Raw genomic sequence first — 14,796 nt, forward strand, 5'->3', positions numbered from 1 at the left:
AACTGCTAAGAGGAGTGTATTAGTCCATTTTTATGCAGCTGATAAAGACATACCCAAGACTGGACAATTTACAAAATAAAGAGGTTTAATGGTCTTACAGTTCCATGTGTCTGGGAAGGCCTCACAATCATGGCAGAAGGTGAAAGCCATGTCTCACACAGTGGCAGACAAGAGAAGAGCGCTTATGCAGGGAAACTCCCCTTTTTAAAACCATCAGATCTCATGAGACTTATTCACTATCATGATAACAGCACAGCAAAGACCTGCCCCCATGATTCAACTACCTCCCACCAGGTCCCTCCCACAACATGTGGGAATTCAAGATGAGATTTGGGTGAGGACACAGCCAAACCATATCATTCTGCCCCTGCCCCCTCCCAAATCTCATGTCCTCACATTTAAAACACAATCTTGCCTTCCCAACAGTCCCCCAAAGTCTTGACTCATTTTAGCATTAACTCAAAAGTCCATAGTCTGAAGTCTCATCTGAGACAAGGCAAGTCCCTTCTGCCTATGAGCCTGTAAAATCAAAAGCAAGTTAGTTACTTCCTAGATATAATGGGAGAATAGGCATTGAGTAAATACAGCCATTCCAAATGGGAGAAATTGGCCTAAACAAAGGGGCTACAGGCCCCATGCAAGTCCAAAATTCAGCAGGACAGCCAAATCTTAAAACTCCAAAATGATCTCTTTTTACTCCATGTCTCATACCCAGGTCATGCTGATGCAAGAGGTGAGCTCCCATGGCCTGGGGCAGCTCCACCCCTGTGGCTTTGCAGGGTGTAGCCCTCCTCCTGGCTGCTTTCATGGGCTGGCGTTGAGTGTCCATGGCTTTTCCAGGTGCAAGGTGCAAGCTGTCAGTGGATCTACCATTCTGGGGTCTGGAGGACGGTGGCTCTCTTCTTACAGATCCACTAGGCAGTGCCCCAGTAGGGACTGTGTGGGGGCTCTGACCCCACATGTCCCTTCTGCACTGCCCTAACAGAGGTTCTCCATGAGGGCCCCGCCCTTGCAGCAAACTTCTTTCTGGGCATCCAGGCATTTCCATACATTCTCTGAAATCTAGGCAGAGGTTCCCAAATCTCAATTCTTGACTTCTGTGTCCCCGCAGGCTCAACACCACATGGAAGCTGCCGATGCTTGGGGCTTCCACCCTCTGAAGCAACAGCCTGAGCTGTACCTTGGCCCCTTTTAGTCAAGGCTGGAGCAGCTGGGATGAAGGTACGAAGTCCTTAGACTGCACACAGCATAGGGACCCTGGGCCCAGCCCACAAAACCATTTTTTCCTCCTAAACCTCTGGGCCAGTGATGGGAGGGGCTGCTGCGAAGATTTCTGACATGTCCTGGAGATATTTTTCCCATTGTCTTGGGTGATTAACATTCAGCTCCTCATTACTTATGCAAATTTCTGCAGCCAGCTTGAATTTCTCCTCAGAAAATAGGATTTTCATTTCTATCACATTGTTGGGCTGCAAATTTTCCAAACTTTTAGGTTCTGTTTCCTTTTTAAAACTAAATGCCTTAACAGCACCCAAGTCACCTCTTGAATGCCTTGCTGCTTAGAAACTTCTTCTGCCAGATACCCTAAATCATCTCTCTCAAGTTCAAAGTTCCACAAATCACTAGGGCAAGGGCAAAATGCTGCCAGCCTCTTTGCTAAAACATAACAAGAGAGTTACCTTTGCTCCAGTTCCCAATAAGTTCCTCATCTCCATCTGAGACCACCTCAGCCTAGATTTCATTGTCCAAACCATTATGAGCATTTTGGTCAAAGCCATTCAACAAGTCTCTAGGGAGTTCCAAACTTTCCCACATTTTCCTGGCTTCTCCTGAGCCTTCCAAACTGTTCCAGCCTCTGCCTGTTACTCAGTTCCAAAGTCACTTCCACATTTTTGGATATCTTTTCAGCAGCACCCCACTCTACTGTTACCAAGTTACTGTATTAGCCTGTTTTCATGCTGCTGATAAAGACATACCTGAAACTGGGCAATTTACAAAAGAAAGAAGTTTAATGGACTTACAGTTCCATGTGGTTGGGAAGGCCTCACAATCATGGCAGAAGGCAAAAGTCTCATCTCACATGGTGGCAGACAAGAGAAGAGAGTTTGTGCAGGGGAACTGCCCTTTTTAAAATGATCGAATCTCACGAGACTTATTCCCTATGTGCTATTCTCGAGAAAAGCACAAGAAAGACCTGCCCTCATGATTCAAGTGCCTCTACCAGGCCTCTCAGACAAATTCAGGATGAGATTTGGGTGGGGACACAGCCAAATCATATCAAGGATGAAATCCAGAAGTCAAGACCACCATAGAAAAGGTGTTCTAGGTAAATGTGCCAGATTTTAGTTAATGTTCCAGAATGACTATACCTTAATAATAACAGTAAAGTGGAAATAGAGGAGTTTCAACTAGAACAAGGCAATCTTCCTAGCTTCATCTTTTATCAGAAGAAAATTAATTTTTCTCTGGAGGGAAATAATATTATCCTGAGCCTCTACAAATTTTCATACACAATGCTCCATATTCAACCAAACATTAAAAGTCAGGGCAAGAAACAGAACCAAATGACCAAAAAGCAAGAAAAATAAAGACAATTAGCACCAGAAATGACTCAGAAATTGAAGTTACAATACATGGACATTAAAACTTTATAAATATGATTAAATCATTCAAGAAAATAGATGAAAAACAGAAATTTCTCCCCAGAGAGCTGAAATTTATTTTAAGAGAATCAGATAAAAATTCCACAATGGAAAGTATAACATGAAATTAAAAGCTATCTAAATGTAATCAACAGCAAATTAGCACAACAGAAGAATGGAGTAGTAAACTGCAAGGTGGTTGGTGGACAACATGCACATTGAAATACAGAGAGACAATGTTAGAAATGAGAAACGCATATAAGAGATAGACGGAATGTGGGAAATGGCCTATCATATGTATAATTTGTGTTTCTAGATGACTGGAAAGAGAGAATTAGGTAGAAGAAATATTTGAAGAGATGCAAGTTAGTAAGTTTCTCAAACTTCATTATCATAAAGTTCTATGAACCCAAACTGTAATTACAAAGAAAATCACACATAGGCATAAAATCATTAAAATGAAGACAACAAAAGACAAAAAGAAAAAAATTTTAAGCATACAGAGAAAAAATTACATTTTCCTCCAAATGAACTGTCAGCCAGATTCTCAAGAGATACAATGGAACCCAGAAAATAGTAAAATGATATATTTGAAATGCTAATATAAAACTGCCAACTTTGAATTTTATACTCAGTGAAAATACCCTTCAAAAATAGAGAATATAAAGATATTTTCAGGAAAACAAAAAGAACTTGATTGAATTCTTTAAAGAAATACTATGGGAAGAAAGAAGCAGAAAGAAGGAAAAGTTATCTGAGTTGTAATCATGTTAATGCAAGAAGGTATAAAGAGCCACCAGATAGGATAAATATGTGCATGAATTGTTCAAAACAATAGACTGTCTATGGGGTTTAAAATATATGGATAATTAAAATGCATAACCACAATAGGCCAAAGGAAAAATGGGGATATGTGGAATTTTTTAAATTGTAAGATTCTTGGATTGCTCAGAAAGTGGTAAAAAATCTAACTTAGGTTATACTTAGATAAGTCAATGATGAGTTTGTAATCTCTAGGGTAAAAATTAAAAGAGTAATAAAATAATACAAAATTAATTGTTGAAATGAAATATTTAAAAATACTTGATTAAGTAAAAAATAAAAAAGGTGGAAAGGTCAAGATCAAGGAATAAAAAGGGGAAGAGGAAAAGTAGTAAATAATACGTAAAAATGTAAATATATCACTAGTTAAGTTAAACAAAATTAAACCAAATGCTCAAAGTGAAATACTAGGGTTGTCAAACTAAATTAAAAAGCGCATACAGACAGAAAAAGTCTTTGCTGCTTATAAAAGACATGCCTAAAATATAAGTGGATCAAAAGTTTTAAAGAAAACGGATGACAGAATTTATACTGAAAATATTACTAGAGATAAACAGGAATAGGAACAGTGCAAATATGGAATGGTCAATTCAATAACATATAACAATCCCAAATAGGAATATATCTAATAACATAGCCTCAAAATATTGAAACAAACACTGAGAGACCAACAAGGAACTATAGACAATCCAAAAACAATAATTGGAGGTTTCAGCACACCTCTCTCAGTGGATGGAGCCAGCAAATTCAAATAAGAAATGATACTGTAGTTTTGGCCAATACAGCTTAAAAGCTTAACTTAATTGACATACATAGGTACAGGGTATCTACAAAAAAACCCCCACAGCTAACATCATACTTAATGGTGAAGGGATGGAAGCTTTCCTCTTAAGATCAAAAACAAGACAAGAATGTCCCTTCTCACCATTTCTTTTTCTTTTTTTTTTCTTTTTTTCTTTTTTTTTTTTTTTTTTGAGATGGTTTTGCTCTTGTTGCCCAGGCTGGAGTGCAATGACATGATCTCGGCTCACCACAATCTCTCTGCCTCCCAGGTTCAAGCGATTCTCCTGCCTCAGCCTCCAGAGTAGCTGGGATTACAGGCATGCACCACCATGCCCAGCAAATTTCGTAATTTTAGTAGAGACAGGGGTTTCTCCATGTTGGTCAGGCTGGTTTCGAACTCCTGACCTCAGGTGATCCACCCACCTCGGCCTCCCAAAGTGCTGGGATTACAGGCGTGAGCCACCAGGCCAGGCTCACCATTTCTATTCAAAATTGTGACATTCTAGCAAGAACAATTATCCAAGCAAAATAAATAAAATGTATCCAGATTGGAAAAGAAAGTTAACTATTTCTATTCACATATGACATGACCTTGTATGTGGAATACCTTAAGGAATCTACAAAAACATATTAGAGCCAGTAAATAAGTTCAGCTAGGTTGCAGGATACAATATCCATATATAAAAATCAATTGTATTTATATATACCAGCAATGAACAATCAAAAAATGAAACAAAAATTCCATTTAAATAGTATTAAAAAAAGTAAAATAGTAATAAATTTAACAAAAGAAGTATGAGTCTTATACCCTGAAAACTACAAAACATAATTGAAAGAAATTTAAAAGACCTAAAAAATGGAAAAACCCTATGTTCATGGATTAGAAGACTTAATATTACTTTTATTTTTTATATTGTCTCTGATTATAAGGTTCTAAGAATAAAAATATTTCAAAAAATACTAGTACACAATTGTTTAAAATCACAAAAAAGATGAAATACTGTTATACATTTTAAGAATGAAAATGTAGAATTTTATTAGAAATGCAGCTCTTAAAGATAAACTCTAGAAAAATTTTAAAAATTAAAAAAATTAAAAACATAGTATTGTTTAAATGACAATATTCCCAAAATTGATCTACTTATTTAATGCATTTCCTATCAAAATCCCAATGGCCTTTTTTGCAGTAATTGATAAGCTGATCTTAGAATGCATATGGAAATGCAAGAGACCACAGGTAACAAAAACAATCTTGAAAGGAGCAAAGTTGGAAGACAGATTTTAAAACTTACCTCAAAGCTAGTGTAGAAAGAGAGACAGAGCAAGATGGCAGAATAGAAAGCTCCACCAATCATCTCCCTCCCCTACACCACCCCCACCAAGGACACCAAGTTAACAACTATCTACACAGAAAAAAACACCTCCATAGGAACCAAAAATCAGGTGAGCACTTACAGTACCTGGTTTTAACTTCATGTCGCTGAAGGAGGCACTGAAGAGATAGCAAAACCAATCCTGAATCCCCAGTGACACCCCTCCCTCATACCCAGCAGCGGCCGTGTGCTGCAGACCATGTGTCTCTGGGTGCTGGGGAGGGAGAGCACAGCAATTGTGAGGCATTGAATTGAGTGCTATCCTGTTAGAGCACAAAGGAAAACCAGACCAAACTCGACTGACACCTGATCACAGAGGAAGCATTTAATCCAACCCTAGTCAGAGGGGAATCTTTTGCCACTGAGGGCCAAAGTGCTCTAAGTCAGTTGTGAGGCCCCTGTTCCTGGCCCTAGCTTTCAGAGGATATTTCTAGACACACCCTGAGCCAGAAGAGAACCCACTGCCTTGAAGGAATGATCCAGTCCTGGCAGTATTCATCACCTGCTAACTGAAGAGCCCTTGAGCCCTGAATAAAGAGCAGCAATACCCAGGTACTACATCATGGGCCTCGGTGAGCCTCTGAGAATTACTAGCTTCAGGTGAGACTCAGCACATTACCAGCTGTGGTGGCTACAGGGCAAAATTCCTTCTGCTTGAGAAAAGCAGAGGGAAAAGTAAAAGGAACTTTGTCTTGCACCTTAGGTACCAACACTGCCACAGGGGAGTAGAGCACCAAGCGAGCTCTTGGGGTTCCCAATTCTAGGGCTTGACCCTTGGATGCCATTTCTGGGTCTGCCCTGGGCCAGAGGAGAACCCACTGGCCTGAACAGTGAGTCCCACGCCAGGCAGCATTTACCAGAAGCTGTAAAGGTTTTAGCTCACCTTCAAAACACTACTAATTTCTTTATGCCGTCCAGGACGTGGTTAGAGCACCTTGTAAGAGCTCAATAAATATTGAGTTGAATATATCTTGAACAATAAGCCACAGGACCCTATTCCCTCCTCTTGGAAAAAAAAACTCCTTTATAGCATTTGTGGATCTGCAAAACTCCCTTGAGTTTAAAGGCTCAAGTTATATTTGACAGCTTTGGTAAGGCAGGTGAAGGAGAATAAGCTTATGTTATCAGAGACAGTGACGTATTTATCATGTTTCATAGTATATGGATCAACTCAGAATCAGAGCCAGATGGCATGAAGTTTTCCATATGGATGAGGACCGGTATAAGAAACTAGCAAACTTATAAAGTTAAAAATTGTTGGGAGCAAGCCCCCCAAAATCTGGCCATAAACTGGCCCCAAGACTGGCCATAAACAGAATCTCTGCAGCACTGCCACATGCTCATAATGGCCCTAACGCCCACGCTGGAAGGTTGTGGGTTTACGGGAATGAGGACAAGGAATACCTGGCCCACCCAGGGCACAAAACCACTTAAAGGCATTCTTAAGCCACAAACAATAGCATGAGCGATTTATGCCTTAAAGATATGTTCCTGCTGCAGTTAACTAGCCCAACCTATTTCTTTAATTTGGCCCATCCCTTCGTTTCCCATAAGGGACACTTTTAGTTAATTTAATAGCTATAGAAACAATGCTAATGACTGGTTTGCTGTTAATAAATATGTGGGTAAATCTCTGTTCGGGGCTCTCAGCTCTGAAGGCTGCGAGATCCCTGATTTCCCACTTCACACCTCTATATTTCTATGTGTGTGTCTTTAATTCCTCTAGTGCTGCTGGGTTAGGGTCCCCCCGACTGAGCTGGTCTTGGCAAAAAATGATCGAGGAGGGACTTAAGTGATATCTACAATATTAATTCTCAAATATCTGAATCCCGAAGAACCATAGCTCTAAAAAAATGAGGGAGCCAATTCCAGAGAATATTTACTAGAGAATACCTGCAAAGTAAATACCAGACATAATAGATTTAACAAAGTTCTGACCCACTCACATAACTCAATGACACAAAATAACAGTATTTAACTTGGAATAATGTTCAAGACACTTTTGATTTTGTTTAGCACAAATCATCTCTTATCTCTAAGGAGAGAAGCACAGATGTCCAGCTTATTAGCATAATAGAAGAATTGCTTCAAGATACATACAACATTGATGATTTTTTAAATTCTATTCAGCCTAGCATATTTTAAATTGGAGTGGGATGAGAGGATTCTTTGCTAGCATTACATTTTTATTTATTTATGTTTTACTTCTTAGAATAAAAATTTTCAAACCTACAAAAGAGTAAAAAGCATAATGCAATGAATATCTATATAGATTTCACCTAGATTCACCAATTATTAATATTTTACTACCTTCTGTCATTAACATTGAACTTTGTTACAAGGAGAAAACAACAACAAAAAATAAAGATGAATTATGTGGCTATAAAAGCGAATTATGTGACAATGTCAACAACTCTGGAATATTCTGAAGACACATAATCATCAGTGATCCATGGAAGGGAAGGGCTTTCAGCTTACACATTTTTGAAAACATTCTGTAAACTGTCAGTTTTAAAAAATACAACCAAGGACATGTGCTGATATCTTCCTCCAGCTCTGTATAGATTCATACACAACTAATGATGTAGCACAGTGGGAAACAGACAAAATGAACACCAAAAAAACCCACACATACCACAATTATTTATTTATACTCTAGATTGTCCCACAAAGGATTTAAGGTTGTTTCAAAAAGACATGCTGTACAAAAGGATACAAATGAACACTTGAGGGGGTTGGTACAAAGGGAGAAAACCACAGATAATATTAGGATTGCAGGGCATAGGGTCTTATATAGTTGCAACAATATAGTTGCTTGCTTTCTGGTGACTAAAACGGGTCCAGAAGATTAAAAAAGCCAAGTTTTTTCTAGGTGACTGGATTGTTTGGGATGTATAAATCCAAGAGCAGTTTCTTCGGTGAGTCCTGAAAGAGAGGATACTATGGGAAGCTGTGGAGGAAGTTTATGATAAGACGGGACCATGAGTTTCATTTGGTTTCTTCCAACTTACTTAGGCTCAGTCAATGGCCTAGTGCCCAGGTTTCATTTAGTAAAATCAATTCCTTTACTGAATGGTTATTAGGCACTAAATAAAGCAATCCAAGTCTCTAGCTCTGATAATCTTGCAATCTGACTCTAAGGTAGCATTTAGAAAATCCAGAGCAGATACACAGACTAGGGTACATGAATGGATTGGGTTGGGGGCAGAAGGTAGGGGAAGATGGAGAGTTCATGAATTAGGTGCAAAGATTTTTCTTGGCAACATTTATTGTATGTCAAATTAGGTTGAAACATTATTATTATGTGGAAACATTCTAACTCTCCAAAGAGGAAGTGTGCAAGAATGCTACCTTACCCAGTCAGGCAACGTATAATTTCTACTGTCTTCATAACAAGTCAAGTAGAATACTTGAGAGGAATGGAGGAAAACATACCTTGCTATTACAATTATTGCATCTATATTTGCATACAATGGGTATAGCTAAAGTTTACAATTTTCTAAAGGAAAATATGACAACCTTTATTATATGTTGTGACTTTCATTATTAAATATGATGGGACAAAGAGATCTGGTTCACACGTTCTTCATGATGGTTACAGAAAGCCAAAGAAACTTCTAACGCACATTGGTTCTCTCCTTTCTGAAATACCCTGCAGTCTGTGGATCTTTTTCATTAGAAGGTTTAGTCTAAAACTATAGACCTTTACTGAAAATTAGATTTACCACAATGCAAAAGCTTTATCTTAAAGTACACTACAATATCAGTTACCATATACATTTATTCATTTGATGAATGTTTGTGGAATGCCTGTTATGGGCCAGTAACTATTCTAGGCCCTGGGAGTCAGTAGTAGACAAAATAGTCAAGAATACCACCTTATACTCAGGTTAGTGAAGAAAAACCATAAGCAAATACATGTCTGGTGATAAATGCTGTGAAGAAAAATAAAATGAACTAAAAGAGATGGATTGAGATGAGAAATGGGGGCGCAGCTCTTTTATATAGCATGATTAAGGAAAGGCTTGCCTATAAGACGCATTTGAGCAGAGACATGAAGGAAGTGAGGGAGCAAGTCTTTTAGATATTTGGAAGAAAAGTGATGCAACAGAAGGAACAGTAACTTAAAAGTCACCTGTGGCAGGAGCAAGCTTGGTCTGTTCGAGGAATAGCAAGGAGGTAATTGTGGCTCGTGCAGAAGGAGTAAAGGGTAGAATGGCATGAGCTGAGATCTGGTGGTATGCAGGGACGTGGCCAAGACTTTGATTTTACCCTAAGGGAAATAAGAAGCCTTTAGAGGGTTTGAACAAGGAAGTGGTATGATCTGACTTGTGTTTTAAGAGGGTCATTCTGGCTTCTGCAAGTGTAATACTAGACTGTAAAGGGCAAAGATGGAAGCAGGAAAACCAGTTAGGAGGAACCTATAACAATCTACATAACCTAATGGCTTGAACCAGGGTAGTGTTAAATAGTGGTGGAAACATTAAGAAGTGGTCAGACCCTGGAAACTTTTTTAAGATAGATATATAGGATGTTAATTTTATGTAAGGTTTGAAAGATAGGAATCAAGCCAAGCTATTTGAAAGAATGGAGTTATCGTTTAATTACTATGGGGGAAGACTACTGCTGGAGAAGCAGATCTGGGGTTGGGGATGTAGATGGGGACATTTTAAGTTTGAGGTATATCAATTAGGGTTCCAAAGGGAAACAGATGGTACAGTCAAATTAGGTTAATTTGAGGAGAGGCATAATAATGGAACTATTTATAAATATACAAAGACAGGAAAAGCACAAGAGATAGTGCAATAGCCCCAGGCTAAAATATGTTGAACGTTTTACAACCCTAGGCCTGACAGGATAAGGAAACAGACTAGGGCCATGTGGTACTGTGCAAAGGGCTGAGGAAGGGGCTGAAACCCTTCTGAGGAATGCAGACAGTACTCAGCAATGCTGCTGGGATGGAATCAGGAATAAATACTCCAACCTCATCTCCTCCTTCCTGTTTGTTCTTCTATTAGTGTTCCCCATTGTCTAAACCCAACAGGAAGTCAGAAAACAAGCCCTTTAATGTAACCCAGAGTTCAGCCTTCCATGGCACAGAGCGGAGTAAAGAGGGGTATAGAATATATTGGGAAGGGCAAATGAAAGATATTCAATACATCGAGGAGAAGATGTTGAGTTGGTTAATAGACATGTCTTTTCAGGAGAAAGATGCCACACTCAATTTAGGAAGATTTTGAAGCCCTGTGCTCTGGGACTGGTTACATTGATAGGTAACGTTGAGTAGAAGCAGAATTCAGAAATAGCGTCTCTATCAAATACTATCATTGACTCTATAATTACTGATGTTTCTTGCTATATTAAGAAGTAAGTTATGGGATAATTGGCAGGTATGCTACATCCCAAAATTATGCAACTGGACTAAAACTGCCTGTGTTCTGTCCAGGAAGCTTCTAATGATATCACTCAAGAAAATATCTTATTTTGTAAGCCTTTGTGAAACTTCATTTTTTTTTTTAGTATGCTGACACATTTACAAAATTTCTTTGCCAAAAACAAATACAAACGTTGATGCTCTGTGGGTAGGTGGAATTTATTCAATGCTTTTGCAACACTTCTGGTTATGTTTCTTGGATTTAGTGGAGCTCCATCCAAAACCCTGACTCATTGCTTTTTGTTTTTAAATAAACTGCATTTTTAGAACAGTTTTAGATTAAAAAAAAAAAACATAAAGATTGTATACAGAGTTCTCATAAACTCTGCACACAATTTCTTCTATTATTAACATCTTCCATTACTATGGTACATTTGTCACAATTAATGAATAAATATTGATACATTATTATTAACTGAAGTTCTTACTTGATTCAGATTTCCTTAGTTATTACCTGATGTGGTTTTTTTCCGTTTTACTTTACCATTTGGGACACCACATTATATTTAATCATCACATCTCCTTAGGCTTCTGTTGGCTACTATGTTTTTTCAGACTTTCTGTGTTTTTGATACTCTTCACAGTTTAGAGGAGAACTGGTCAAATATTTTGTAGAGTGTATCTTAATTGGGATTTGTCTGATGTTTTTCATGATTAGACTGGGACTGTAGGATTTCGAGAAGAAGACCTCACCCATAAAGTGTCAATCTCATCATGTCATACCAAGTGTATATAATATTATCAGCATGACCTATCACTCTTGATATTGACCTGGATCACTTGGCTGAGGTATTGTTATATTTCTCCACTGTACATTTACCCTTTTATTTCCCCTTTTCCATACTGCAACTTTGGAAGGAAGTCAATCAATGTGCACAGTCCACGCTTAAGAAGTGGGAAATCATGCTCCACCTCCTTGAGGGCAGAGTATCTACATAATTTATTTGGAATTCTTCTGCACAGATTTGTCTATTCTCCCACACTTATATATTTATTCAATGATTTGTTTATAACAGTATGGACTCACAGATATTGATCTTGTACTTTGGGTTATAATCCAATACTACTGTATTTCATTGCTTGAATTGCTCCCATTGTGGCCATTGGGAGCTCTTTCAGTTGGCTCCTGTGCCCTATAACATACACTGTGGTTTGATTTTGTTGTTGTTGTTGCTTAGCACTTCCTTGATTTCTAGCACTACAATATGCTTCAGGCTCATCTTGTATATTTCCTGCCTCAGTCCTAGAATCTGGAATTTCCCCCAAGAAGCCCCGGGTCCTTTTATTGGAGAATAATATTAGAAAACAAGATCGAGGCACCAGGTGAGCTTGTTGCTACTGGGGTGTTGTTGCTCCTAGGTTCTCTCGGCTGATAGAGGGAGAAGAGATATGTGTGTATACTAACCCATGCATATACACATATCTATGAATATTTCTGTATGTAACCATATGTATCTATATAAACCTAAATATGAGTTCATACTGTTGTCTCTGACTCTAATCTATTACCACATGAATCACTCTAGCCTTTGCCTGATGCTTATCTATGAACTCTCACTCCAGCAGTGAGATACCTGGCTCCCACTTTCTGTCATTCATTTACTTAATTGTTCAATTCCAGTATACATATATAGCAGTACTAGAATTGTTAATTCACATTTACAATTTATCAACAAGAATACAGGCTTATATACAGTTTTGTTTGCCTTTAGTTTTATAGACCGTTTATTTCCAAAGTTACTTTGGTCAACAACCTATTCCCCCACTGACTTCATTCATGTCATTTTTAATATTTGTAATACATTCATTTTTTTAAGGAAAAATGGTTGTTTTATTCATTTGTACTTATACCAGCCAAAGTAGTACTAATGTCATTATGATGCAGCAAATATAAGACCTCTTTCTACAAATATTAGCATAACCAACAGAATGGGGGCTATAGTAAAACAGAGCCAAAAAGGGCTGAGGAAATAAATGTAGTATGTTACAGCTTAACCCTTCACCTCAATAGAGTTTTTAAAAAAATAGGTAAAGCCTCCCAAACCCAAAAAACAGGAATATACCTTCATCACACCAATTTGTACTTTTATTTCTTATTATTGAGGTTAGATTGTAAACCCTAAAGATATCCAAACTAGTATTATATCTACTTATCTATAGCCAGAGACAGCTTCTATCATGTTGTCCTTAGCAGCCAAGGTTATTAAAATGTCTTTTCTCCAGGAAGATTCAATAGGAATAAAGAAAGAAACCTCTCTGATTAGGCTCCAGTCATACCCCACCCTCCATCAAATTGACTGGATAGGCATAATGGAAACCAGAACACATGGTTTCCAACCAAGAAAAATCCTATGAGGGAGGGGAGGCAAGGAGAGGTAGGATTCAGCCAGCGTCCACACTGAAATTGAGTAATATCAATTTCACTCATCTTCAGGTATCTTCAGGTTGCATGTTCGTGGAGTAGTTTAGGAATAAATCTATGGCTTGTGGAGTACTAAAATACGTAGTGGTCTGCTGTATTACATTATGGCTTTCCCCAGCAGTTTCCAAGGCAACCTCCAAGTCACTGGCAGGAGAATTTGGCTGGAACTGCATGCAGGACTGCAGAGATTCATCTCCACAGTTATAGAAGGGACTGTTCCAGGCCTGATTGTTCCAGGACTGGGTGCACCAGGAGTGGTTGCTCCAGGAATGGATGTTCCGGGTGTGGTTGCTCCAGGTTGAATTGCTCCAGGTCTGGTTGCTCCACATTGGAAGGTTTCCAGTCATGTTCACCAGGCATCCCTTGTGGTAGGAAGAGTGGAGGCTGGGGTAGGTAGGTGCTGAGGCCTTCTGAGTCACACCACTACTATTCTTTGGCCAGTTGTTTTTCTGTCACCTCTTAGATTTCATTCTCTGGTTCTGGAACCAGGTCTTAACCTGTTTGTAGCTAAGGTTCAGGATGTTGGAAAGTTCTTGCATCTGCTGGAGGCTGAGGTATTTCTGTCCGTGAAATCTATCATTGAGTACACACAGCTGGGTGGAACGGAACACAGTTCTGGTCTTCTGTTTCTTGACCAGGACCTTGTCTTCCTTTTTTGTGGTGCTCTTCTCTGCAGAAGTGGGTTTTTTGCCTTTAGGACTGGTAGAAGAATCAGGGCTGTCCTGGATAAGCAGATCCATGGCGGAAGGAAGAGGAGAGACAGTCTCTGAGTGAGGCATCTCAGCAGAAGACATTTGCAGGGATGGATAGTTTTCTTCAGGCCCACAAGTCACCGGCGTAGGTGAAGATTCTTTACAGTTGGATGCTTCAGAACAAGGCAGGCTTTGGGCATAGGTTGGATTCATGATCATGTTATTATTGGGGAATAGGAGGGAAAAAATTAAGAGCTGGACTGTAAAAAAAAAAGGCTAAGGCAGCTTTAAGACTTTTTTCTGGAAGATCTTAGAGAAATATGACTTCCAGAAGTGAAAGTATCAAGAAGTTGGGATGAAGTGAGTCACCCCCACAATAACAGGAGGCAACCAGCTCAGTCCAGCCTATATTTGTAATACACTTAGATGATTTTGTCACATTCCTCATTCCATCCCGAGATGCTCCTAATTCCTAAATGATTGTTTAGTTCGTATACATTAAGTATACAGTTAGTTTGTATACATTGTGTTTAGACATACTGCACAGTGCCATGTTATTACAATTACAGTATTGTAGAGAATATTTTCACCATCCTAAAACACAAACACGAAAACCTTGTGCATTGTC

At 38.7% G+C, this 14,796-nt stretch overlaps 1 pseudogene; it reads right to left on the reverse strand.

Annotated features, from left to right (window-relative positions):
- NANOGP10 (Nanog homeobox pseudogene 10) lies at window positions 12,869–14,573 on the reverse strand (annotated as a pseudogene).

This window comes from Homo sapiens, chromosome X (genome assembly GCF_000001405.40).
Source record: "Homo sapiens chromosome X, GRCh38.p14 Primary Assembly".
In the NCBI taxonomy this organism is placed as follows: Eukaryota; Metazoa; Chordata; class Mammalia; order Primates; family Hominidae; genus Homo; species Homo sapiens.